The following is a 27,123-nucleotide window of genomic DNA, read 5'->3' on the forward strand; positions in this document are numbered from 1 at the left end:
GGTGGCGCCGGGGGCACGGCTGGGCGGCTCCGCCCAGAAGAGGGCCGAGAGGCGGGGCGGTGCCCCCACCGCAGGCCCGCGGCGCCCTCTGCAGGCCACAGGCAGCGACTCACCAGTTGCCTCATCTTTCCTCTCCTCCCTCTTGGGGCTTTCCTCAGGCCACATTTTTTGTGTGTCTGGGCAGTCTCTCAGCCTCCGACTCCCGTCCCTTTCTTCCACTTCCAGGCCGGGCGTGTTAGTGTCTTCGCGGGAAAACTGCCAATAAAGTTTTTCTTCTTCTCGCTCCCAAGATCCCCGCCTCCCCTTAAGCACCGCGAGATCTGACGGCGCGGCTACCATGGCGGCGGCATTTGAAGCCTCGGGAGCCTTAGCAGCAGTGGCGACTGCTATGCCGGCTGAGCATGTGGCCGTGCAGGTCCCGGCCCCAGAGCCAACACCCGGGCCTGTGAGGATCCTGCGGACCGCTCAGGATCTCAGCAGCCCGCGGACCCGCACGGGGGATGTGCTGTTGGCGGAGCCGGCCGACTTCGAGTCACTGCTGCTTTCGCGGCCGGTGCTGGAGGGGCTGCGGGCGGCCGGCTTCGAGAGGCCCTCGCCGGTGCAGCTCAAGGCCATCCCGTTGGGGCGCTGCGGGCTCGGTGAGAGCGGGGGCCCGGGATAGGTCGGGGGGTGGGGTGGGAGAAGGGGGACCGACGGGCGGCGGCGGCCAGGCCCGCGCCGCAGCTCAGGAAGAGCCCTCGGTCGGCCCCCGGAGCAGGGCCCTGCCGGGGGCTAGGCGCTACGCTCAGTTAACTTATTTGTAAAACTAACGTGCACTATTGAACTTGAGGATAGTTAAGACCTTTTTTTAAGCACTGACAAATGGTTCTAAGTTTGAGAAGATAAACGGTAAACGTTCAGGGACTAGGCGTGTTCTCATACGTTTTTGAGAATCAACTAAAAATGAAGGTGCCAACTAGGGGAATCTCAGGAGACCCTTCTAGTTCTCTGATTCCATGTTAGCCCCTAAGTTGCTTCAGTGAGTACTGGCTAGTGATAATTGTTTTTTTCCTTCGCAGATTTAATTGTTCAAGCTAAATCTGGCACCGGGAAAACCTGTGTGTTCTCCACCATAGCTTTGGACTCTCTTGTTCTTGAAAACTTAAGTACCCAGGTGAGTTAGCTGAGAGGACCAGAGGAGGATGTGTTTTGTGGACTTTACCACAGGTCAGATGAAATACCAGTAGCTCCTCAGAGCTGGAAGTGAATTTGATGAATGATTGAGTTAAGTGGTGGTGGTGGCGAAATTTGGAATTTTCTATGCGTACCTTATTTAAATAGAATAAAGCTACCATATATGTCAATTTTGTCACTACTTGGTAATACAGACAGGGATTCTTCTTTTACTTACTGACTAGATTAATGTGAGACTTAACATTTGACTTGATTCATGGTAATGTAGTGCTCTGGCTATTGTTGGTAACTGCAGAGTTTGTTTTTTTTTTTTGAGACGGTGTCGCTTTGTCACCTAGGCTGGAGTGCAGTGGCGGATCATTGCTCACTGCAACCTTGAACTTCTGGGCTCCAGTGATCCTCCCACCCATCTTCCTAAGTATTTGGGACTACAGGTGTGTGCCACCACACCTGGCTAGTTCTTGTATTTTTTGTAGAGATGGGGTCTCCAGTGTTGCACAGACCAGCCTTGAACTCCTGGGTTCAAGCAATCCTCCCACCTTTGCCTCCCAAAGTACTGGGATTACAGGCATGAGCCACCACAGCCGGTATGCAGGTGGTTCTTAAAGCTCTGTAAATGTATCATATTGATCTCCCATCTTCCAGGTTGTCTTAGAGTGTTTCTAAGATTGCCTTACCCAAATTAGCAGGAAATTTGAGTTTGGGGATCATTTCTCCAACAAAGGTTTGTTGAGTCCGTATTACGTATAAACAGTGTGCCAGGCATTGGGGATTCAAAGATGAATTAGATGTGATTCTCATAGCCTTACTTGGTAGTTTAGTTGTTATGGCAGACTGTATTTCAAGTTCTCAGGCATTGGTATATCTGATGATGAATCTTCAACAGTGGTTTTTAACCCAGATATCCATGTTCATCACCTGGGAAGCTTTTTGAGTCCATCTTATGTCTACCAAATCCTAGGTGATGTTGCACATTGGAAATCCTCCTACTTCCCAAGAACCTGAGTTAGTCTAATTGTAGACTAAGATGTATTTGAGATTTTGGCTTCTGACAATTTGGCAGCAGATAAAATGCTGAAATCCTGGAAAAGTTTCATCAACTCATTTTTTTTTGAGACCGAGTCTCACTCTGTTGCCCAGGCTGGAGTCAGTGGCACAATCTTGGCTCACTGCAACCTCTGCCTCCCAGGTTCAAGTGATTCTCCTGCCTCAGCCTCCCGAGTAGCTGGGATTACAAGTGTGCACACCACACGCCCGGCTAATTTTTTTGTATTTTTAGTAGAGACGGTGTTTCGCCATGTCGGCCAGGCTGGTCTCAAACTCCTGACCTCAGGTAATCCACCTGCCTCAGCCTCCCAACATGCTGGGATCACAAGTGTGAGCCACCATGCCCGGCAAATTCATATTTTTAATTTCAGATCTTTGGATTATGAAAATTACATTATTCTCTGTGTGTGTATCAAAGTAATACATATTCATTTTTAGAAATAGGGAAAATTCAGAAAAATTAGGACGTACCAGAAAACAAAATCTGTAATCTTACTACCTAGAGAGAAACTGCTATTAACAGTTTTGGCATGTTTTCTCCTAGTCCTTTTTTTTTTTTTTTTTTTAAATCAATTTTTTTTTCTTGTAGTTAAGAGCACAAAGTTTTGTTTTCTCCTCCTCCAGTAGTTACATTGCAAAGTTTTTACCATGACTCTCAAGGTCTTTTGTGATCTAGTCCCTGGAGGTAGATCTCTGACCTCCTTTACTTTCCCCTGAATTCTGTCATGTGGGCCTTCTTTTTCTTCCTCAAATACACCAAGAACACTGCCATCTTATGGCCTTTCCATTTGCTGTTTCCTCTTGGTGAAAACGCTTCCCCAGGGGTCATATAGCCAGCTCTACTCTATGCCATTCACGTAGGTCTCTGCTCAAAGTACCTCCTTTGAGGAGGTTTCATGATCACCTCATTTAAAATGACTCCTTTTTTCCTTGTTTGATTTTTTTATGATACTTTTTATTACCTGTCATTACTTATTTTTGTTTACTGTATATATTCTTATCCAAGAATGAAAGTACCATGAGGGCAAAGACTTTGTACTGTTAACTGTTGATTCCCCGGCAACTAGTATGTTGCCTAGCACAGAGTAGGTTCTTACTTAATATTTGTTGAATGAATGAATGAATGAATGGAATACAGTCAGCCCTCCCTGTCTTCAGGTTTTGTATCAGCTGATTCAGCCAACTGTGGATCAAAATACTCAGGGCAGGATGGAGGAACAATAAAAAATAATACAACAATCAAAAGATATAAACAAAAATACGGTGTAACCATTTACATAGCATTTAAATTGTATTAGGTATTATAAATAATCTAGAGATGGTTTAAAATATGTGGGAGGATGTACACAGGTAATATACAGATATATGCAATTTTATATAACAGACTTGAGCATCTGCCAGTTTTGGTATTTGGGGGCTTCCTGGAACCAATCCCCTGTGGATACCAAGGGATAACTGTACCTTACCTTATCAATAAAAACTCATTTGAAATGATCATTTAAATGAAATATAGTGTGTCATGTAATGAATATACCAGTCCCCTATGTATTTATTCCTCTGACTCAAAGGTGTAATTTATGGTTTTTTTTTAGATTTTGATCTTGGCTCCTACAAGAGAAATTGCTGTACAGATACATTCTGTTATTACAGCCATTGGAATAAAAATGGAAGGCTTAGAGTGTCATGTCTTTATTGGAGGGACCCCATTATCACAAGACAAAACCAGACTTAAAAAGTGTCATATTGCTGTTGGATCTCCTGGTAAGATAACAATGCCTGTTGGTAACCAGGGCTTTTAAGGAACTACACACTTTTAATATAACAATAAAGATATATGGGAGTCTTTGATAACTGTGATAATTATTTTGATTAGAAATGAAGAGCAGGCCGGGCGCGGTGGCTCACGCCTGTAATCCCAGCACTTTGGGAGGCCGAGGCGGGCGGATCACGAGGTCAGGAGATCGAGACCATCCTGGCTAACATGGTGAAACCCCGTCTCTACTAAAAATACAAAAAATTAGCCGGGCGTGGTAGCGGGCGCCTGTAGTCCCAGCTACTCGGGAGGCTGAGGCAGGAGAATGGCGTGAACCCGGGAGGCGGAGCTTGCAGTGAGCCGAGATCGCGCCACTGCACTCCAGCCTGGGTGACAGAGCGAGACTCCATCTCAAAAAAAAAAAAAAAAAAAAAAGAAATGAAGAGCATTAGACCAGTGAGATTTAGGTACATGACTGGTTTACCAGTGGAATTTATGAAATCTCCATTCCTAAGTATGTTTGAGAAGACATGGGATAGGCTTTTGAGAAGAGGAGAAATGCAGTGACTTTCAGGAGGCCCTTCTAAGCCATGGATTGGGATTATTCTTTGGCTTCTCTATTATATTTGGTTGCGAATCACTCAGAATCAGCATCTTGCATTCAGTGCTTTAGGTCTTTTGATAGAAATGGTGTTTATTTACTGGTGATGAAACGTGAGGGGAAAACAATGAGTTTAGTCAAGATCAGAGCTCCAGATTTCTAATTTGTGGTTTAGTGTGTACATGCATAATGAGAGTTGAATCAGGAAATTCAGCAGAACAACCTGTAAGTAATAAGTAGAGTAACAATATTGGCTGAGATTTACACAAATTTGGTACATCATAAATATTTCAATTTTTTTTTTTTAATTAGGCAGAATTAAGCAACTCATAGAACTTGACTACTTGAACCCAGGCAGTATACGCCTCTTTATTCTTGATGAAGCAGATAAGCTTTTAGAAGAAGGCAGCTTCCAGGAGCAAATAAAGTAAGAAAAATAACTAACTTGACTATTAAAACAGTGTTCCGAAGTATCTATCTTTAGCTTTTCCAAGTGGTGATTATTGTTTGAATAATTTACATGGTATCTGTTTTTATTTTGCAGTTGGATTTATTCTTCCTTGCCTGCCAGTAAACAGATGCTGGCAGTATCAGCTACTTATCCCGAATTTTTGGCTAATGCTTTGACAAAGTACATGAGAGATCCCACTTTTGTAAGACTGAATTCCAGTGATCCAAGTCTCATAGGTGTGTACAGCTTTTAGGTACTTATATTATTGGTTTATTTGTGATATGCTGGAGCTTTCCCTTGCCTAGTTTTGTCTTGCTGTTTCATGGTTACCATTAGCATATATATTTGTTTTAACTGATAGCTCTTCTTTGTAGGTTTGAAGCAGTATTACAAAGTTGTCAATTCATACCCTTTGGCACATAAGGTTTTTGAGGAAAAGACTCAGCATTTACAGGAACTGTTCAGCAGAATTCCATTTAATCAAGCTTTAGTCTTTTCTAATTTGCACAGCAGGTAATGTAACTTAAAAGGTCATCTGGGGAACTTGTGAAATAAAAGGATAGTCATGGGGCAATATTTGTAAATTTGTAACCATTTATGTTATATTTCATAGAGCACAACATTTGGCTGATATCCTTTCTTCTAAAGGCTTTCCTGCTGAGTGCATTTCAGGTAAGTTCATCTCTTACTTTAATCTTTATTTAGTATACTGACTTGAAGCCTCCAAAGTCAGGAGGAAAAAATACCACTTTATGAGTTGTCTTGAGAGTGTGAAATTATCTTGTATCTTTTAGAGTAAAGGAATTTTCAGGCTTATTTTTCATTGGAATTTGATATGTCAATATTCTATTTTTAAGGAGTAACTTGGTATATAGTAAAAAGTTAGAAAACTAGTGTTCAGAAAGACAATTTTATTAGAATCTCTCTTATAGCCACATATAACTTAATTCTATAAAACCAAGTTTGTCTGTATTGTGTTAAGATAAAAATATTTTTTCTTTAGAATTTTTTTTTTTAATAATTGTTAAAATGCTGGAGATTGCTAACTGAATTGACTGTTTTATGGTTTTGTGGAAGGCAAAAGTGATTGAGTTCTTGCTGCAAAGTTAAATGATTACTGCTGGCATAATAAGAATGAAAGAGTCGAAGGATTTTTTGATCAGTGAGATCCTTTTTAGAGTTTTGTTTGGTGTCAGCTTAATTTTTAACCTGTTGGCATGAGCTTGTTTAGTTATGGTATATCACGAGATACTGGGGAGACTATTTTCTAATGAACCAATACTTAAACTATAGATCACACTTTAACACCAAATTATAAACAGCTGATTAAAGCATTTTTATTTTCCTAAGAATTGCTAGTTATACTTCATATGTAACTTTGCAAATAGAATGTTATATATTCAGGCATGGCCTGATCACTATTTAGGATTGATTTTTGAATTTCAAGTTGATTGCCTAAACCATAGTTTAAAAGATTTTAACTTTGGATCTTAACCTAGATTTGCACAGAAGGACAGAATTAACTGTGGTTGGTGTATTAAAAGTGTTAAGACTGGGTGTTATGCTTTTTACTTTTTGTGGATTGGATAAATATGTATTAGCTTAGTTGTTTTTATGTGACTTTCTTTTGGGGTCCTTTTAGGCAATATGAATCAGAATCAGCGTCTTGATGCTATGGCTAAACTGAAGCACTTTCATTGCAGAGTCCTCATTTCCACAGATTTGGTAAATTTCCTATTCAGTTTGGGTGACTAATCCATCTTGACATATGTTCTATTATCAGATGTACAGATTTCATATATTATTTTATGTAGGCGTATCTAACAAGAATACCAGAAGATAATTATCTTTCCAGTGCTGAGGAAAATACTTTCTTAAAAATGTCTTTAATATGTTTATCTTTGTCCTTGAAATTAGTCATTAGGAATGAATTTCCTTTTCCTCTGCTCCTCAGTATTCAGTTCTTAATTTGTCTCTTGACTGTACTGGAAGAATATAATATGCATTGGTATCCATGCTGTATAGTTAATGCAAACAAATAATTGCTATCTTCTTCAATTCAAGACTTCTCGTGGGATTGATGCTGAGAAGGTGAATCTGGTTGTAAATCTGGATGTACCATTGGATTGGGAGACATACATGCATCGGATTGGGAGAGCTGGCCGTTTTGGTAAAAAAAAAAAAAAAAGTTTGAGTGCTTTCTTTAAGGGGAGGGATCTATAATGTGACAGGTGGGCTTTGAATATTATTTTTGTGAAAATGATTTACTACCTAACATTCTCTCTGCTTTTAGGTACATTGGGGCTGACAGTGACCTACTGTTGCCGGGGAGAGGAAGAAAATATGATGATGAGAATTGCCCAGAAATGTAATATCAACCTTCTCCCTTTACCAGGTACATTTCATCTGTTTCATTATTTCAAAATAATTATAGTGGTGATAAGCATAATAAAAATGATAATAATAGCTAACAGAGTGCTTATGATGTGCTGGGTACTGTTCCCAGTCCTGTATGTACGTTAACTCATTTACTTCTCACCACACTCCTATGAGGTGTGTGCAATTGTTTTGTAGATGAGGATATTTAGACATAGAGAGGGTAAGTAAAGGTGTTACAGCTAGTAAGTAGCACGGAGAGGAGTGCAAGCTAACCACTGGCACATGAAAAATGAGAGCTGGCTAGGCGCAGTGGCTCACGCCTGTAATCCCAGCACTTTGGGAGGCCAGGACAGGTGGATCACATGAGGTCAGGAGTTCAAGACGAGCCTGGTCAATGTGGTGAAACCTCTTCTCTACTAAAAATACAAAAATTAGCTGGGCGTGGTGGCAGGTGCCTGTAATCCCAACTACTTGGGAGGCTGAGGCAGGAGAATCGCTTGAACCCAGGAGGTGGAGGTTGCAGTGAGCTGAAATCAAGCCATTGCACTCCAACCTGGGCAACAAGAGTGAAACTCCGTCTCAAAAAAAAAAAAAAGAAAGAAAAATGAGAGCTATGTTAGCTCTATTTTATTAGTTAGTGGCTTTGCAATTTGATTTTATTCTTTGATACAAGGGGGGATATTTTACCTCTTAAATTGTTGTGAAGGTAATTCTTGCCATATTCTCCTTTGTCACCATGTGGAAAGAACAGCATCTTTAATTTGAATACTATTTTGAAAAATTGGAGTGAAATGTTTTCTTTTGATTTCAGTTCAGTCATTTGTTCTGCTTCTTTTTAAGTGCCCTCTTGGAAACAACGCATGTTTAAAACTAGTAATGATCTCTTAAAAACAAAAAATTCTAAAAAACCCTTGAGTGGAAATATGGCATTTTTGACGTGCATGTTATACAGAAAATGTGCACTATAAATAGTGTCTATTCATATATAGATGTATGTCTATATAGAAAAATACACATATAGGTCACGCCTGTAATGCCAGCACTTTGGGAGGCTGAGGCGGGCGGATGACGAGGTCAGGAGATCAAGACCATCCTGGCTAACACAGTGAAACCCTGTCTCTACTAAAAAAAAATACAGAAAATTAGCCGGGCATGGTGGTGGGTGTCTGTAGTCCCAGCTACTTGGAAGGCTGAGGCCGGAGAATGGCATGAACCTGGGAGGTGGAGCTTGCAGTGAGCCAAGATCCGCCATTGCACTCCAGCCTGGGCGAAAGTGCGAGACTCAGTCTCAAAAAAAAAAAAGAAAAATACACATATAGTATATACATGACTTTGCAGAATATAGGATATGTAGTTATTGAATAAATATAATTGAGTATTTTACCGACTTTATATTTAATTATTTTACAGAGCTAGATTAAGCACAGATCTGGGAGTTCTATGTATTCTAGTAGATCGGGTTAGTAATAACTCATTTTATGATCTTTTACAAATCTCTGTAATTGCTGTAAGCTTAGAGTCCTGATTTGCAAAGTACTTTAGAGTAAATGGTCTTTAGGCTCTATGTCAGTTCTAAAACTGTCAGTTCTTTCTGTGTATAAGTCTATTCGTAGTCTGATATGGGAAAAAAATTGAAAATTGGTAGAAGAGGGTTAAGACTTCTTGTAGGATTCAATATCATAGCATCTAGTGATAAAAATTGCCTTTGGATACTGGAAAATGATATATTTGGATCTTTATGTAATGTTAATAGGGCCCTGAAATCATGAGAAAATGATATTCATGCTGTTAGGTCTGTATTGGACTGGGAACTTGTGTAACAACAGATGTTCAGATGAGTTTCCTGGGGCAGAACTAGGAGGGAAATTGGCCTGTATTATAGGACTAGGCAAGCAAGGGATATCAACTGAGTAGGAATGAGAGTTTTAATCATAGAATCTGTTCAGCAAAGGATCAAGAGACTTCATTGAAGTATCCAGACCTGTGGGATTTATAGATAACATGGAGCATAAATAGCAACAACAGGCAAGATCTTTGTAAAGCAGGGGCTTGATATATCTTGTCTGCCTAAGACAAAAATTGATCACACTTTGAAAGGTCTGAGTGTGGGAAGCAAATTGTCACACCTGGATGGAATAGAAAATTTAGAGGGTTGAAGCCAGCAAATTTTTTAAAAATTAGAAATGTCATTTCTGATTTTCATAGTCACAGATCTTTTCATAGTCATCTAGTTTTTTCCCCTATAGAGGTTTTCTCTTTATTGTTAAGGGCAGTGATTTCTCCCTGTTGGAATATTGGGTGACAGATTTAGTTGGGTGTACAGAGTTGCAGTTGTATTATTTCCTAGTTGATAAGCTTTGGGGAGCACAATCCATTTTCTAATATCTTGTTTTGCTGTCAGAAGTATTGAGATAAAGGGGAGGGGCTGTGGAGAGGGAGGAGAGAAAAGATGGGAGAATTGTTGCAGGCTTGTACATTACTCCTAGAGTAAGCTCTTTTTCTAGTGAGAGTGAGGGGAGATAGTGCTTGTGAGTATGGGATGGGTCTTACATATTTCTTAGGCAGGTTTCTTTATTACAGGATTGCTTCAGTCTTTAAAAATGTTATATCTATTAAACATCTTAGTATATTTGCATATTGTTTCTTAAATGTATTTGATCATAGAAAACTTTATGAAATCATTCAGAAAACAGTGGTCTAGAGTAGCTTGAGAATTTTAATACATTTTTCTTCCTTTTTATGTAGATCCCATTCCTTCTGGTCTGATGGAAGAATGTGTGGATTGGGATGTGGAAGTTAAAGCTGCTGTGCATACATATGGTATAGCAAGTGTACCTAACCAACCCTTAAAAAAGCAAATTCAGAAAATAGAGAGAACCCTTCAAATTCAGAAAGCTCATGGTGACCACATGGCTTCCTCTAGAAATAATTCTGTATCTGGACTATCAGTCAAATCAAAAAATAATACCAAACAAAAGCTTCCTGTGAAAAGCCACTCAGAATGTGGAATCATAGAAAAAGCAACGTCACCAAAAGAACTGGGCTGTGACAGGCAATCCGAAGAGCAAATGAAGAATTCTGTTCAGACTCCCGTTGAAAACTCCACCAACAGTCAGCACCAGGTCAAAGAAGCTTTACCTGTGTCACTCCCCCAGATTCCTTGTCTGTCTTCCTTTAAAATCCATCAGCCATACACGTTGACTTTTGCTGAATTGGTAGAGGATTATGAACATTATATTAAAGAGGGGTTAGAGAAACCTGTGGAAATCATCAGGCACTACACAGGCCCTGGGGATCAGACTGTGAATCCTCAAAATGGTTTTGTGAGAAATAAAGTTATTGAACAGAGAGTCCCTGTGTTGGCAAGTAGTAGCCAATCTGGAGACTCTGAGAGTGACAGTGATTCTTACAGCTCAAGAACCTCTTCCCAGAGCAAAGGAAATAAGTCATACTTGGAAGGCTCTTCTGATAATCAGCTGAAAGACTCTGAATCTACGCCTGTGGATGATCGTATTTCTTTGGAACAACCACCAAATGGAAGTGACACCCCCAATCCAGAGAAATATCAAGAATCACCTGGAATCCAGATGAAGACAAGACTTAAAGAGGGGGCTAGCCAGAGAGCTAAGCAGAGCCGGAGAAACCTACCCAGGCGGTCTTCCTTCAGATTGCAGACTGAAGCCCAGGAAGATGATTGGTATGACTGTCATAGGGAAATACGTCTGAGTTTTTCTGATACCTATCAGGATTATGAGGAGTACTGGAGAGCTTACTACAGGGCATGGCAAGAATATTATGCTGCCGCTTCTCATTCATATTATTGGAATGCTCAGAGACATCCAAGTTGGATGGCAGCTTATCACATGAATACCATTTATCTACAAGAAATGATGCATAGTAACCAGTGATTATAGGATATACCTGAGACCATCAGGAACTGTCAACAAATGATACCTTTGGATATCCATCCTCCTCGACTTATAGTACAGTGGTGTATAGTGGCATTTCTGATAAACTTGAAAAGACTTGAGTCTTTCCACTGGGACACATCCATTTTTCAGATTGTTTTGATTTAGGCCAGGTATATTATCTTCATTTTTAAGAGTTTCTTTAAGAAACTTCATCAGATTGTTGAAAGATAATTTTTGGGACATAGAGCTGAAAGTTTCAGGGTGCCATTTTCTATAAGATCTTCCCAAAAGAAACATTTAAAAAGATGACATATACCACCACTTACTTAAAAACAATAAAAGCAATAGATTTGATTAGTAATATTATTGCTGTGGAGTTCTTTACAAAGGGCTTAGGCTGCATTTCCTTCTATAGAGGTGCATTCTTGTAGAAATTTGTAGCATGGTAGATCAGAAAATCCTCTTAGGTTTTAGGCAGGAAGGAATATTTAAACATTGCTTTAGATTTTCCTAAAGGTATTTGATTTGATCTGTTAGCTTCCAGTAAAAATATTTGTTTTTAGTAAAAACAAATTTAAATATATTTACATGTTTGTTGTTTATCTTTTGAATGTCTTTTGAGGCTGTGAAAGCTGTCCACATTTTTGCTGTGTATTAAATAGCTGTGGGTCATCAGTTGCTGTCTTACTTGTGTTGCTCAGATAGAGGAGCAGCTCTTAATCTTTTTTGGTTCTTGGATCCTTTTATGAATCAGCTGATAGCTATAGATTGACTTCAGGAAATTTCTCATTCCATAAGCACAGAATTGTGAGTGTAATTTCAAGGGGTTCATAGACCCTCTGAAGTTCATCTATACAGTCCAGATTAACAAGTGACCTGCTCTGCTGGTAGGCTAGGGGAAGTTCTAGCTCTTAGTTTTAAGTATTTTGTGGAAGCTGGAATTGATTCTCTTCAGACACTTCTTAGTACATCCTAATTTTGTGTCTTCTAGAAAATTTTCCCCAGTTTTTACCTCTAATGTTAGGATCCAAGAGGAGCTTGGATCTGAGCTGATGCATCTGTAAATTACGATTTAGAAAAATATAATTGGAAATTACATATTCTTTGCTTTTTTCCTCTGGAAATCCTTTTATGATTAAGCTTTTGGTTCCCAAGCCTTTCTGTGAACTGGATTTTTTATGAGAGAACCACTTGTGTAGAGAGATGTGTATTCACTTTTTAAAAGGAAAGCTCTTCTTTCCTGTGTACATACTTGTCTAGGTAGTATAAACACTTTCCCCAGGGCTGTCAGCAAACACCCACAGCCATTGTCATTTATTGTCCAACACCTACATAACACAATTCTAAAATCCTACTTAACTTGGATTCCTGTCATTTGGATTGGGCAATATTAGGCTTTTCTTACATGTGTCAGTATGTGAATTAATTAATAATGTAGATAGCAAATCCATAATTAGGTCCAGTATGTCATTAAGAAGTAGAGATTTTAATTACACATTTAAATAAGATCCTGTCATTGATATATAATTGAATTTACTTTTTCCATCCTTTCCCCCACAATACAGCCAAGTTCAGTTTGTCATTGCTGGGGGATTTTAATTAGGGTACTGCCTCATCTTAATTAGAGACGAGGTTACCCATTAGTCTTCAGAGTAATTGGATTCTCTATTTTGTGCTTGCTTTTTTTTCCCCACAAAAATAAGCTGGAGGTAAGCATATGTATAACATACAAAAATACTAATTGCTTCAATTTCCATAAGCATTTACCAGGAAAATGGCAGCTGCCACCTTCTCAACTAACAGGTAGCTATAGTTGTGGATGTGGAAGGGATCTTCCACATACTGCTATTTGTGTGTGACTCACCTTTGTGTGGAAAAAAATTTTTTTTTTGATTGTCAGTCTAGGTGCATCTTTCCATCATCTGTTAGGAACCATAGAGAGGTTTACAGTAGATTCACTTGAGAAGGCTCTGTGGTGGTGTGAAAAAGGTACTTGTCCTGGTTGATACTGCTACTACCTACTTTTTAACCTTGTACCAGTCATTTAACCTCTCATGGTCCAGTTTTCCCATCAATAAAATGAAAGTTGGACTAGAAGATTTTTAGGATCCCTTCTAGTTCTATGATTATATGACATATGCTGAAGAAAAAATAGTTTCTAGTTCAGGAAAAGGATAATCAAATTTATAAATACAGAAAGCCTTTATAAATTCAAGTAATTTGGACGAAGGCTGATGTGAATTGGTTAAATGTCTGAATTTGTGAATACTTGTAAATCATTAACACTGCAACTATTCACGTTAAGCTGTAACTTGAATTAGGCTAGCAATATTAACATGTAGCGAGATATTTGAGAAACCTGCTACTTTGAATAATTCTGACTTAGAATATGAATTATTTTGGATGACTAAAGGTAATATTTTCTAAAGTAGCTTAGGTATTACAGTAATACTTATTAACCTTTTAAAATGTGGTTTAAAGGCAAAGTTCAGCCCCTGAATACTAAAAATAATTGAACATACAGTACTTGCGGATCACTCTGTATGAGACAAAGGGAGTAGTATGAAGTTTTATGTTTTTTTCCCCCTTAAATGAAATCTACATTAGTCTTTTAAAAATATGTATTTTTGATAACCCTAGCTGACAGAACTCCATCGCAAGGTTATTGACTTATTTTGGCAGAATGTGTTTATTATTTTGTACCTCTGTACACAAGCACGTATGTCTCACTTGACATTCAGTGCGTCTTAATGAAAAAGAACACAAATTGCTCAATGCATATCTGGTTTCCAGTTATTTCTACCCGAAGATTATTTGGTCTGTGGGTCTGCAGTGACACCTAGTGGGTGATAAGGATGTGAGCATCAATGATTAAAATGAATTTCACAGCTAATTTCTAAGGTCTTTGGGCATCATGTATTTGTTTTAGTGTTCCATTTCTATTACTGTTTTCATCAATTGGATCTAGTTGTGGGGAAATTAAAAGGATTCTCCTCATTGCCAACGGTGAAACAGACTGCCGGTTGGTCTTATCACCTAAGTCAGAATTGTTAAGTTTGGAACAGATTTCCAAGATAACTAATCCAATCCCCATTTTTTGTTGTTTGTTTTTTTAGAGATGAGGGTCTTATTATGTTCCCTAGGCTGGACTTGAACTCCTGGGCTCAAGGGATCCTCCTACCTTAGCCTCCCAAGTAACTGGAACTACAGGCACATGCCACTATGCTCTAATTCTCCATTTTTAACAGGAGGAAACTAACTGAAGCCAAGAGGGAGTTACTGATGGGAAGTCACAATTCAGTGCTAGAACCTAAACTTGAATCTCCACCATCTGATTCCCAAGCTTTCTACAATACCCCACAGAACATTTAATTCTGAGTTTTCTTTTTAATTTGAGAACTTGGTACTCAGTAAAACCAGTACTGATACATAAAGTCAGATTTTCTTTCAATAATATGGGGTCAGTGTTCAAAATAGAGCCGTTGATAGATAAAATCGAATGCTTTACCTGTTAGCGAACATCCACAAATACAGCATACAAGCAGGCAAGAACCATCAGCGATATCATAGAGGAGTTGTTTATGTTTACATTGAGGGATGGAGTGGGAAGATTACTCTAGGCCTTTAATAACCCTTCTAAGATTCTGTGAGTTTTCTCTAGCAAGGTAGAAAGCCAATCTGTGTTCAAATTATTCTATTTTCTAGCATATACCAGCACCTTTGGGAGGAAAGGAGAATCAGTATTCAAAGAAACAGTCATTTTAGGGTTTGTGGCACATAATTTGTTTAATCCAGATTGGATACATCAGGTACAGCAGTGGCACACGACTCAATACTGTAAATGATATACATGTTTTAACATATGCACTACAGTTTCAAAAGAAGACGACAGGAAACTCAAGGGTGTTTTTTTTTTTTCATAGAAAGTTTTCATGTTTTATCTTCCTGCAGTTTTGTACAGTATATTTCTTCTTTGCCATTGTGATGTTGATAAGCAAAGCCCATTTATTATACGAAAATAGAAAAGAACACACTTGATGTATCTCACGATGACATTAATGGGGGGAAGGGTGTGACCTCTAAGGAAAACATTACATTGGAATGTCTGATTATCAAAAATATACCATCCCTCCCACCTCCCAGGTTTGTAAAATAGTCCATTGGTCCAAGGAGCCCCCCAGGACTTGGGTCAGTGCCGTACACTGGTTAGAGTGACATCATCCAGTGTAGTTGAGTAACCTGCTAAGATAAATGTCATTCCCACACTTGAGAAAAAACACAGAACATTCTGAATAGAAAACAAGACTTAAAAGGAACCCCTTTAAAGCTGTTTCATTTTCTGATAGCCACTTTCTCTTAGTTTTAATGATGCTCTTCATGGTGCTGTTTGGGCTCCGAGGGTCATGGGTCATAACAATGTTTTTCCTTCATCTAGTCATTTTAAAGCTTTGCAAATAATGAGATTTCATTAGGAAATCAGAAAGAGAAAATAAAAGTTTGTCATGGTTACCATGCCAAGTAGTGTAGAAAGGAAATGAATATTGCCTTAAGTTCACAGCATTGGGATATTTTTGCCTTATAGTTACCTGGTAATTGAAGTGGGAGACTGGAAAACTGGAATTCTTTAGTAACCTCGAAATCTAGTGTTAGCTCAATTTTCAACCACTTCCTCTGCAAAACTTAAGGAAAAACTCTTAAGTACATAATGTCCCAATGTACATTTTCCTTGTCTACAATCTAATAAGTGATATCCTGAACTGTAGGAATCATATTTTGAAAACTGGATAAAATCATCAGCATATCCACAAGTTGACATTTTTGTTAATTATAGATCGGCATTAACTGTCAACTTTAAGTTCTGTTCAAATTCTGTGTGATTGTAAACTAATGTGTTCAACTGTCACTGAGAATATCTATTGGTCTTTTGAAAGGGAGTCTATGCAGTTAGTCCTGAGCTTGGCACTAGTTATGAAAATAGGAGATGAAGGAGAAATAGTACAGAGTTTGTTTCCAGAGATCTTGGTTCACGGTGGTTCTGAATTGAATACTTCCCTCCCCCACGTCACCACCCTGGAAATCCAGGTATGAAAAATATAAGCAAGCCTCAGAGCAGTGCAATATAATGTGGAGGAAAAATCCTAGGACAAGATGTCTTAAGTCCTGGATTGCAATAATGGTTCTGCCACTAACTTGTCATGTGAACTTGGATAAGTCGTTCAGTTTCTTTCCACATGTTTTCCCCTCTCTGAATCAAGGATTTAGCTACTTTACCTACTACCATCACAGACTGTCATAAGAACCACAAGGAGTATAAAAGGTATGCTTCAAAATGTCACTGTCCTAGTCTTCTCTTCATTGAGAAGAGAAAATATTTGACTAAAAAAAATTGACTCTTCACTTGTTCACTGATTTCTGACAAAATTGATAGTCCATAGATGTTTCTACCCAGAGAATGGTGGTTTCCAAAGTATGGTTTGTATTGGTACAGTCAGGTGATTTCCAAGGGCTGTGTCCAAGTAGTATTGACATATACGTATTGACATATAAGACTATGTCTCCAATTACAGTATGGATTCTTTGATGGATCTTCTCCAAAGCATCACTGCTCTCAGAGGCAGTGGGTGTGGTAGAAAATGCATTAGACTAATAGCCAAAAGACTCGTGTTCTGGTCTCAGATCTGTCATTAAATAACTGCATGACCTTGAACAAGTCATTTAATTTCTCTGGGTCTCAGTTTTCTATACTGTAAAATGAATTAGATATTCTTAAATCTTTTCTAGTTCTGATATGCTCTTAATACTACATTTTCTAGGTTCACATTCATTTGACATTTGAATGTAACTGTTAGGTTGGTTGGTTGGTTTGTTTTTCCCTCCCCCTCTTAATGCTGAGTGGGACTGAATGGAATAGGTGGTTTTGGGAATATTTTATTATGTCAAAGTGGTTCATGAACTATGAAAGCTCAAGGGTCATGGCTATTGGCCCCCAGAAAATCCTGATATCCTGGTTTTTCAGTCACTGGCCAATGAGTTAGACTTATGAAACCAATTCAGCATACTTTGGACCTTGTGTTTTCTTACAGTACCCTTTAGCAGTGTCATCTGGCTGTGTTCTGTAGTGTAGATGAGCCATTTTCCAAACGTTGACATTTTTTGGACCAGAAGTGAGCTGGATCTTTTCTCTGGCTAAGGCTACAGTGGAGGATGGAGGAAAAGGGGATGGTCTAATGGTCTTTTAGGAAGTGGCATGACGTGGGCTCTGAACGTGAAGTGGAAGGAACACAAAACATTCTGTTGATTAGGACCAATAAAAAAACATGGGAAATTGCTTGGGACATGATATTTAACATTTATTAATTTTTGTGGGAACCAGTAAAATGTTCCCTTGGTGCCCTATCAAACAGATCCTTTGTTGAATCTGTCACTATTCTAACCCTGTAATGATCTGTTCTTAAATTCATCACAGGAAGTTTGTATGTGTGTGCAACCAGTTCTAATTTACCTCCTTTTTTTTTTTCTTTTCTTTTTTTTTTTTTTGAGACGGAGTCTTGCTGTGTCACCTGGGCTGGAGTGCAGTGGTGCAATCACGGCTCACTGCAACCTCTGCCTCCTGGGTTTAAGCAATCCTCCCCCTCAGCCTTCCAAGTAGCTGGGATTACAGGGGTCCACCACCATGCCTGGCTAATTTTTGTATTTTTAGTAGAGATGGGGTTTCACCATGTTGGCCAAGTTGGTCTTCAACTCCTGACTTCAGGTGATCTGTTCACCTCGGCTTCCCAAAGTGCTGGGATTACAGATGTGAGCCACCGCGCCCAGCCCTATTTACCTCTTTATCTCTTACCCCAGTCAGATCTTATGAAGCATAACTAAGATACTTAGACACTCATAATTTTGCTCTAGTACTCATTTTTTTTAAGAGAAAAATTCTTTTCTAGTCCTTTGCCCGCCCTCTAAGTGAAGTTTAGCTTGGTCTTCTAATGAGATGTGTATATGAAGTGAATTGATTTAAGTATGTATTCTCTGATGTGTTTAGGTTGGTTGTGTGTATACACATGTACTCTGTAGTTGTAAAGCTTTTCTGCCTTCTTAGTCTGTAAGCTCAGAGGGCAAGAACCACTCCATTCCCACATTAGGGGACCCAGAGAAAGAACTCAGCCCATGGTCAATGAGGATAAGCATAAAGAGATAAAGACAGAAAGAAGGCTCCCTCTCCTCTGCCTTCTGCCCACATTCTGGTTAGGTGCCACCTCGAAACCTTTTGAACCTACAGGGTCAATCGAGCTGGGGTCATAGGGAAGCCCACGAAGGGTGTTTTTAGGTTCCTGGCTAGTAAAACTCATTTAGATGGCTGTGGTGGGGAGAGAAATTCTTGGCCTACAATTAAACAGCTAACCACTAAGCTGTAGGATGGATAGGCAGCTCCCGAGGAGCTCATGTATTTCAGAGCCCAGGCTACAGAGACTGCAGCAAGGTGGCTGGGTGTTGGGAAGGGCAGGAAAGGACTTGTCACTAACCCTGAGGCCCACCTACTCTGCTACAAGCAGTGAACAATGGTTAGGAGGATTCCAGAAATGCTGCCCCCAGCTCCACCAGGGTGCAAGCTAGTTGAATAGATATGTTGTCCAGGTGTTCAAGAAATAATCTTCACTCCTTTGCTTGCACAGAGGTGATGAGGCTTCTCCCCCATTTCAGCATCTTCAGGGAGATCAGGCCGAAGCCTCTTCAGACATCAAGGCATCTTTCATAGCAGGTAAGAATCATCTAGAATCTCTTACTTGCTTTTGCTTTGAAGCATTTTTCTTGAGGCACACAGGCTTACCCTTCCACAGCCTCTGTGTGGGAGTTGCCTCTGGTTTGATATAAGTCAGAGGAATCTTGGTCCCCGTACCACTGCCCTCTCTGGAGAAAACTACTCCCGGGGCCTCTTGGAAGGGCTCTGGATGGGCTTTATGGTGGGTCTTGAAGGAAGGGTCCATAGCAAGGTGCCCTAATGACCGGCTGAGGCTGCGAGCCCTGGGTCCTTCCGTTCTCCCCTCACTGGCACATACCAGAGTTGACCGCGTCTCAGGTGTTGGCGATTTGCCTTTTCAAGATTCCAGTGTGATAAATCTGTTCATTCCCTTTCTTTCCCAGAAACTGAAACTGCAAACACGAGTGGTTCCAACCCCAAGGGAAGTACCTCTGTTCTGTGAGGTAGACTTCCCTTACCCCTAAACTCTCCCAATTTTTGCTTCACTCTTTCCTCCTCTGCAGTTGCATTCACACAGATAGAACTCCCAGGCACAAGTCTGTTGTGCGTGGCAGTGATGAAGAAGGCTTTACTGATGTGTTTCAGGATCATTGGGATCCAGGTAGAGACAGATGGCTGGACACAGAAACAGCTAGGGGTAAGCAGAGAGGTACAGAGACAAGGGAGACAGGGACAGACAAAGGGTAAGGATTGCCGTGTGGTCACTTGGCAGCTCTGCACAGGTCAGCTGGGCAGTGGGGGCCCAGGCTCAGTTGACCTCACCCACCTGGGGGAATGGAGAGAGAACTCAGCAATAACTGACTTCTTAGCCTAAAAGCTTTTGCTATAAAAGGAGAAAAAAAAATCCCTCACAAAATGCATTGTTTTGGTTCAAAGGTGTTGGGTCCATGGAGAAAAACATTTCACAAAAATCCGTTGGTGTTTTTGTTTTCCACCTTTTCCCATGAATAAATATTATCCATTAAGAGCCTTGAAAAAGGTGCTTAAATACACAGTGTTATATTTTCTTCCTGTTTTGCTTGTGACAACTTGGCCTCTTTGCTGCTCTTGGTCTTGTATTTTCCTCACTGGGGTCTCCAGAAACGACTGTTATTTGGTCTGAGTCTGAGGCTCCTCCATCCAGGCCCTGTCCTGGCACATAGCCTATATCCCCCGGCCTATCCCCGACCCCCCCACCCTCCCTCCCTTCCTCTGGCCCCAGTGAGATGCAGTATCACAGGGCTATGTCCACGCTAGCAGCGTGAACCTCAGGTGCCCCTTTGCTACCTCTTTTTCCTTCCAGGCACAAGTCTCAGTGCTAGGGGTACAATGGGGCAGGCAGAAATAGTGGGGAAAGGGGGGAGGGAGTGGTCTCAGTGACCACCCACCAACATGCCAGTCCCCTTCATTCCCCACTACCCACTCTGGCCCTCTGTCCAGTGGTTTTACAAGGCGGAGACCTTGACAACATTGCTGGCTATGGAAGGAATGTTCGTGTTGGGGCCTGGGCTGGCAGGGGGTGGCCGACTTTCCCCCTCTGGGGTTAGCGCTGGGGGAGTGGGGATGCTGATGATGGCTGTGGTGATCTGGGATGTTTTGCAGTTTGGTCTCAGTCCGTCGTCTGCTTTCAAATTAAGGCTGGAGCGACTGGGATAGAAAAGAGTGAGTTGATGATGGTTCCTGCTGGCCAGCGTCCCAAAGCTTCCTTGACCCCCTACATTTCTTGCTCGTGGTAACTAGGAGGATATTTTGTTGTGCCTCTATCTCTGCCTTTTGTAATCAACTTGTAATTATCCATTCTAATTATTATTCCCAAACTACCAGAAATTACCAAGTTGTATATAGTAGGCTTTGAATTGCAGAATGTACATCACCCCCACCAGTGATTGTATATCTATCATTTGTGGCATTTGGCATTTGCATTCCCTGAATTCTCTGCAACGCATTTGGAGGTAGTGGGAAGTGGCCTAAATATAAGCAGAGGGGGAGGGAAAAGTCAGTCTCTGGGATTCAAATCAGCCTAGGATAAGCCATGAGTAACACAGATACGAAAACTGTTTCTTGAGAAAATGGTTGGTCCATTCCTTGTACCAGATCAGGTCATTTTTGTGTATCTAGAGACACATTATTTTATATGTATATATATAATTATTTTTAAAGTTTTTTTTTTTCCCTGTTACCTATTTTCAGCCTAAACTGCTATAGTACCTACTCCAACAGCATATGAAGGGCCTTTGGGTTTCCTTGCAAGGAAAGGAGGAAGGTAGAGGGGCTCATGCATTAGATAAGGGGAGCGGCTAGAGGATCCTCAAGGTTCTCCTAATGCTGCAATTGTCTAATTCTGTGAATGGGATGATTCGAGCCTTTGCGGGTGATGGGATGGAAGCCACCCACCTGGTTGTGAGGGAGGGCTGCTCACTGCCCTGGATGTGGATCGTGCTGAGCTCTTGCATGCTGCGCAGGCGAGTAGCTGGCAGGTTAGAATTGGGCAGGTGTGTGGTCTTCTTACTACGACGGGAGCAGCAGGTGGTAGTGAGGCCTGGGTGGCTGGACAGTGAGGGACTTCTTGTGGATGGGTAGTTCTGCATTGAACTCTCCATGCAGTTCTGCTCAAACATCTGCTCATCAATAAACTCGTGGTTCTGCGGGAGGCAGAAGGAGAAGAAGTAGGAAAAGGAGGTAGGGAGGAGAGAGGTAAGCCCCTATACTCTGTATGGCTGCCTGTCTCTGTTCTGGACCTTGAAGGAAGGGCTCCCAGCTGCCCGGATCACAGATAAGCATTCAGGAGGGGTGATGTCCCATGGGCATCCAATGAGGACAGAAAGAGAATCATATTGGCAGCCCTGGCCATCAGTTCAAAGGGTAGGGACTGCAGTTGTGAAATCATGATGTGACATATACTTCACCTACAGCTTTGAGCTGAAGGGACATAGAGGACACAGAGGAATTCAATGGCATCATCACAGCTAGAGGCAAAGACTTTACTTTCCAGGCTTTGTACAAGATCTGCCAGAGGTGGCAGATAAGGAGTCACTGACTGTGGGAAGTGGGTATGCTAGGTTGTCTTTCCTGGATTTAATAGGTAAGGGTATGACAAAAACTTTTAAACATGGGGGTCATTCACAGAATTGGGAGAGCACTGATCCTGAAGGCCAGTGGGCAAACTGTCACGGATAGGGTTTCTTTTAATTATTTTTTTCCCCACCTGATTATGGGATATGAGTCCTTAATATACCTGGAGGCACAGGATTCCCTAGGTCAAGTGTAAGCATGGGAAGGGATTGCTAACTGTCTCCTGACTGGAGGCCATTGGGATGGGGTATAGCTGAACCCAGGATAACTAAAAAATGGCTGTTTGGCCAAGTTGACTACAAATCTATGGCATTGATGGTCTGGCTAAGGCTGCCAGAGTGAGGAGAAAGTCTGAAGAGAAGTGGCATGAAAACAGAGTTCAGGGAAAGACCAGCCTGGCGGCAAATACCAGGAGTCCCCACGGAGCTGGGATGTGGCACAGACAGATGTGGCACTTGGAGACTAACAGGATACCAGCACTGGTGCCATGTTCCACCACCCCTTCCACGCCCCTGGGGAGTTCCAAAGAGGGAACTAGAAAGACAGTTGGGTGGTTCAGCGCAAGAAACTGGAAGCCTGAGCTGGTGCTGGGTGTGACAGCAGAGGTAGGAGGAGCCCCAGAAGAATCAGCAGCACATGCACAGAACCAGGCCGGGGGGTAAAAAGGGGAGAATCCACAGACTCAGAATTATCAGAGAGAAAAACATCAATTGAATTTTTAAAAAGTTATACCTTGATGGTGGAGGTTCGTACAGATAACAGGGGATCATCCACAAGATAGGACAACCCCTACAGGACAACATGCCAACAGAAGATAAAAACACCATTGATTGTACATTCCAGCATTCCCAAGCCAGTTTTGACATTCAATCTCTTGATCCCGGCATTCCACCCTTTGAGTCAAACATTCCACCCCTCATTCCCAGCATTCTGCCCCCTTCCTCCCAACATTCCACCCTTTAGCCCCAACAGGACCCTGCTCAACCCCAACATTCATTCCTTCTATCCCAACATTCTGCCTCTCCTGTCCTGACATTCCACCCCTTAAGTCCAACATTCCTCCCCTAAAATCCAGCATTCCAGAGCTTTAATCCCAATATCTCACCCCCACAATCCAACATTCTTTCCCTCAAATTCAGCATTCCATCCCTTCAATGCCAGCATTCCATCCCTCAATTCTAAAATCTCATTTCTTTAATGCCAACATTCCAGCCCTTCAAACCCAAATATTTTCACCCATATCCTTTCAATTTACACATTCCACCCAGCACATGCAACTTGGAAAGGGCAGTTGGGTCCGGGCCTATCCCTTTGGCAAGCTCAGAGTCTTTGAGAGAAAGTCTATACATGAATATATGTTTTTGATGATAAATCCTGTAACTAGGGTTTGCAGAGCACCTTCCCATTTTGGAAGTAATTATTGGGTTCAACTGTCATCCACAGGGTCCACATTTGGCTCAGATAGAGTCATCGAAGCCAGGCATGGTGGTCTGTACCTGTAGTTCCAACTACTTGGGAGGCTGAGGTGGGAGGATCACTTGAGGCCAGGAGTTTTAAGACCAGCCTGGGCAACATAGCAAGATCCTGTCCCTGCAGCCCCACACCCCCCTCCCCACCAAAAAAAAAGGAGTCATCTAACATTTATTCTCTCTACATCTGGGAGGCCAGGATATGGAACATCTAGAATTAGGAAGTTCCTTCCTTAGGGTACTGAGCCCTGACTATAGACTCTTTGGGGAGGAGGTTCTGGAAAGGAGCAGGAAGGCTTTCACTTTGTTTCTCCTTGGCTTTTCTACTCTGACCTCTCTTCCCTGTCTACTATTCCTAGCAGTTTCTGCCAAGGGTCCAGGGTTGGCCCCACTGCCCTTCCTTTCAGTCTGATGGTTAGGCACAAGCATCATTCCACACTCCAGCTGTGGCACCCTAAACCATGGCTCTGTTTTAACAATCAGCCTGTTAGCATCTGGACTCCCTGAGAACCACAGGGTGACTGGGCAGGGGTGGGGGTGGGGGGGCGGTACTTCTGAATCCTAGTTGGAGAAATACATGCACTACCTCCTTCACACGCTGTCTGCAGGAGGATGTAGGGAGCCAAGGGGCCCACAGGCTGCATCAACCCAGCCCCAGAGGTGGGACAGAAATCAACACTCTTCTCTACTCTCCTACACAAATTCAGCCCAAGCTTTGAAGGGTGATGCCTGTCAGAACTGAGAAACTGATAGGCAGACCCCTAAGTCCTCAATAATCAAGAAATGGGCTGTGGAGACGAGTGTAGGAGTGTGTGGGAGGCTGGGGGAATGGCCTCCTCAATGCTCCTGCAGGACAGAGCTGGTCTCCCACCCTGGTGACCTTGCCCCACTCCTCAGGGTCTTCCACCTGAGGGCCAGTAGATCCCATCACTACCTTTTGGATCTGAAGGGGACAGACTTTGACTTCTGGCCCAGAGTGAAGATGTGAGTACAGCCTTAGAAAAGGGTCAGGGTCAGCGATGAAAAGGAGGTGGCAAAGGGCTGGGACTCACAGTGGTTTTTTCCAGGCAGTGCAGCAGGTGATGATGCTGGCTCTCGATGAGTGAGGTGGTCTTGCCCATGTGCTCCTCTTCTGGGGTGCCCTAGTAAAAAAAGAAGAGAGATTGAGTAAAAAGCTGGTGGCTCTTCCCCTCTCCAGCTCCTTCATTTCTCCACTAAAGGTCAAAGGGCAATAGAATAATCAAATTTTTTTTTATTTGACCAAATTTCAGGGTCAGCATTGAATATGCTAACCTTTGGGCTCAGGGGCCCTTGGTCTAAACCTGGTTTAGAGGTAGTGGTGATAATCCTATGGAAGTGGTGTGTGAATGGGGGGCTGCTACCTGGGGAAAGTTTGGAAACGTGTCCTCCTTGGGGTTCATACTGGGGCTCTGGTGAGAGTGCTGGTGTCCCGGGAAAGAGAAAACAAGCCCATCTACCCCTTTATGTTCCCTAGCCCAGGTCCTCTAGGCACCTACCGTCAGCTCCAGCGCCTCGTTGAGGAGCCCGTTGCGCTTGCTGTGCAGGTATGCATTCGAACTGCCTGTTTTGGCCACACGGATCCTGGCAAGGCGGGCCTTCTGTGATTGGCAGAGATAATAAAAGAATGAGGCAGACCATGATACAAAAAGACAGCAAGGCTGGTGAAGCTGTGAGGCTGGCTTCCCAGGTGACACCTGATGAAGGGGATGAGGCTGTTTCTCTCCAACCTCATGCATCTCCAGTTGTGTACCCACTTTGTATAGCTTGGTTGGGTCAGAATTCCCAGGAGTCTCCACTCATCTCTCCAGCCCGGGTATAATCCTGGCAGGAGAAATATCACTCATCCAAGCTCTCTTCTCCCAAAGGTTTCATGACCTTTATCTACTCAGTATTGCAAAATGCCATGTGCTATTCAGTTGTGCTCCTCAGTTTTCTTATCTCTAACTAAATTGCAAACTCCTTAGAGGAGTGTATGTGATAGCTGCCCTGATTCTCCTCTAGGGTCCAGTACAATTTTCTGCATATAGTAGGTCCCCAAGTATTAGTTAATTATGAGAAAAGCAAGGAGTGGGCCTATGTGCTCTTCAATGCTTCTTAACTCCTCTGCAATTTTTTTCTTTGCACGTATTACTAAGGAAATATATGTTTTATATATTTTTCTTGATACTTTCTCTTTCTCTTCCACTAAAATGTAAATTCCTTGAGGGCAGGAGTTTTTGCCTTGTTTACTGATGTACCCCCAGTAAACAGTAGGTTCTCGATTTTTAAAGTTAATAAACACATTTACAATTGTATATCTGTCTTTGGGAGTAGATTCATGCATGTATATGGTTTTTTTATTTTTTTGAGACGGAGTCTCGCTGTCACCCAGGCTGGTGTGCAGTAGCGTGATCTCGGCTCACTGCAACCTCTGCCTCCTGGGTTCAAGCAATTCTCCTGCCTCAGCCTCCTGAGTAGCTGGGATTACAGGCACCCACCAACACACTCAGCTAATTTTGTATTTTTAGTAGAGATGGGGTTTCACCATGTATCACCATGTTGATACCATGCAGGAGGGCTGCATGGTATCAAGCTCATCTCTCCTGCTTGCACAGGGAGAAGCTGAACACATTACATATGCTGGCTGCCCTTCTCCTTCCTAATGACTGTAATCATTGTCACTATGACAGTAGCACAGCCAAAGAGAGAGGACTAAGGAATGAGACTGAGAGAGGGAGAAGGGACTGGGTAGAGGTTTCTTGCTAGTTTAAAAAAATGCAGCTTGAGGTTTGGGCTCTGTAAATCTATTTACAGCCCCAGGTGCTTGCTACTGGAAGCAGAACAGCCCACAAGGATAGCAGACCCATCCTGGAGTAGAAGGTCCCTCCTCCTGGCTCTGAGCAAGTCCACATGTGACTTCAGCATGGACCCTAAGCAGGAAAAGAGTCCTAGGGAAATTGTGGCAATTTCCACTTCTTGTCACCCTCTCCCCAAGTGTCCTGCTGGGCTGGTTCATCTGCTAAAAGGAGGCCACAGTCTCAGGGGTTCAGGTGGACAACAGAAGCACAAAGGATGTATATCTCTTGCTTCCTGGGAAGTATCTCCTTGCAGAAACAATTCAACTCCCTTCCCAGGCTTCTAAATGTGGGGAAGGGGCCAGGACTTGAGCCTGAAAGATCTTCCTTTAAGTCTGAGGAAGACTGCTCCTCTTGATGAAGGAGAGAATAAAAAGGGGGACCTGGGAGAGAAAGGATGATGGCAAATCAGCCCTATCATTCCTCCTCTCTACAAGCAGAGAACATTGACTAGGGGGCCAGGACAGTTTTACTCCATGGGAATCCTGCTCCAGCCCTCCCCTTGGCTAGATATTTACATTCAAGCAAGTTCCTCATCATTTGAGGATGTGGCTGCAATTGCTTTAGGTGAGTGCTGGGTGTTGAGAGTTTCATATGGAAATCCAATTGTGTCAAGCTTATTATAGTCTTATATAATTTGATTGCACCACTTGGAGCCAGACCGTTCTTGTATCTGGGGTCCG

General features: G+C 42.0%; 3 protein-coding genes across 8 annotated transcripts in view, besides 4 other annotated features; 1 reads left to right on the plus strand and 2 right to left on the minus strand.

Moving 5' to 3' along the window:
- INKA2 (inka box actin regulator 2) overlaps positions 1 to 210 on the minus strand; it is a 33,734-nt gene extending 33,524 nt beyond the window's left edge. The window contains exon 1 of the mRNA NM_198926.2: positions 114 to 210. Coding sequence (NP_945120.1) covers positions 114 to 125 — 12 coding nt within the window. The 5' untranslated portion in view covers positions 126 to 210. The remainder of the gene's footprint in view (positions 1 to 113) is intronic.
- Positions 33 to 162: a silencer, noted in NCBI's record as "silent region_1193". NCBI's record gives its function as "represses an Ori minimal core promoter by ATAC-STARR-seq in GM12878 lymphoblastoid cells {active_cell/tissue: GM12878}" and the evidence as "EXISTENCE:reporter gene assay evidence [ECO:0000049][PMID:35858748]".
- Positions 33 to 948: a biological region, named in NCBI's record as "NANOG-H3K27ac-H3K4me1 hESC enhancer GRCh37_chr1:112298273-112299157".
- Positions 64 to 948: an enhancer, noted in NCBI's record as "NANOG-H3K27ac-H3K4me1 hESC enhancer chr1:112298273-112299157 (GRCh37/hg19 assembly coordinates)". NCBI's record gives its function as "activates a minimal SCP1, AML or CMV promoter by ChIP-STARR-seq in naive and primed H9 embryonic stem cells {active_cell/tissue: H9 hESC(naive and primed)}" and the evidence as "EXISTENCE:reporter gene assay evidence [ECO:0000049][PMID:30033119]".
- Positions 314 to 12,413, plus strand: DDX20 (DEAD-box helicase 20). The gene is made up of 11 exons (NM_007204.5): positions 314 to 638; positions 1,059 to 1,153; positions 3,813 to 3,981; positions 4,887 to 5,001; positions 5,119 to 5,261; positions 5,400 to 5,538; positions 5,639 to 5,697; positions 6,668 to 6,750; positions 7,090 to 7,195; positions 7,319 to 7,420; positions 10,150 to 12,413. Exons 1-11 carry the CDS (start codon positions 338 to 340, stop codon positions 11,310 to 11,312), a joined length of 2,475 nt encoding a protein of 824 aa, NP_009135.4. The 5' UTR covers positions 314 to 337; the 3' UTR covers positions 11,313 to 12,413.
- Positions 573 to 652: a silencer, noted in NCBI's record as "silent region_1194". NCBI's record gives its function as "represses an Ori minimal core promoter by ATAC-STARR-seq in GM12878 lymphoblastoid cells {active_cell/tissue: GM12878}" and the evidence as "EXISTENCE:reporter gene assay evidence [ECO:0000049][PMID:35858748]".
- The window catches only part of KCND3 (potassium voltage-gated channel subfamily D member 3), a 219,007-nt gene continuing 206,958 nt past the window's right edge, over positions 15,075 to 27,123 (minus strand). For 4 of the 6 annotated variants that reach the window (NM_001378969.1, XM_006710629.5, XM_017001244.3 and 1 more), the window contains exons 4-8: positions 25,103 to 25,204; positions 24,638 to 24,727; positions 22,849 to 22,905; positions 21,439 to 21,686; positions 15,075 to 20,691 (exon numbers count right to left, since the gene is read on the minus strand). In NM_001378969.1, the coding sequence (NP_001365898.1) occupies positions 20,490 to 20,691; positions 21,439 to 21,686; positions 22,849 to 22,905; positions 24,638 to 24,727; positions 25,103 to 25,204 (699 nt within the window). In that variant the 3' untranslated portion in view covers positions 15,075 to 20,489. The remainder of the gene's footprint in view (positions 20,692 to 21,438; positions 21,687 to 22,848; positions 22,906 to 24,637; positions 24,728 to 25,102; positions 25,205 to 27,123) is intronic. The other 2 variants (NM_001378970.1, NM_172198.3) reach the window with 1 other exon arrangement.

Source organism: Homo sapiens, chromosome 1 (genome assembly GCF_000001405.40).
Source record: "Homo sapiens chromosome 1, GRCh38.p14 Primary Assembly".
Taxonomy (NCBI): Eukaryota; Metazoa; Chordata; class Mammalia; order Primates; family Hominidae; genus Homo; species Homo sapiens.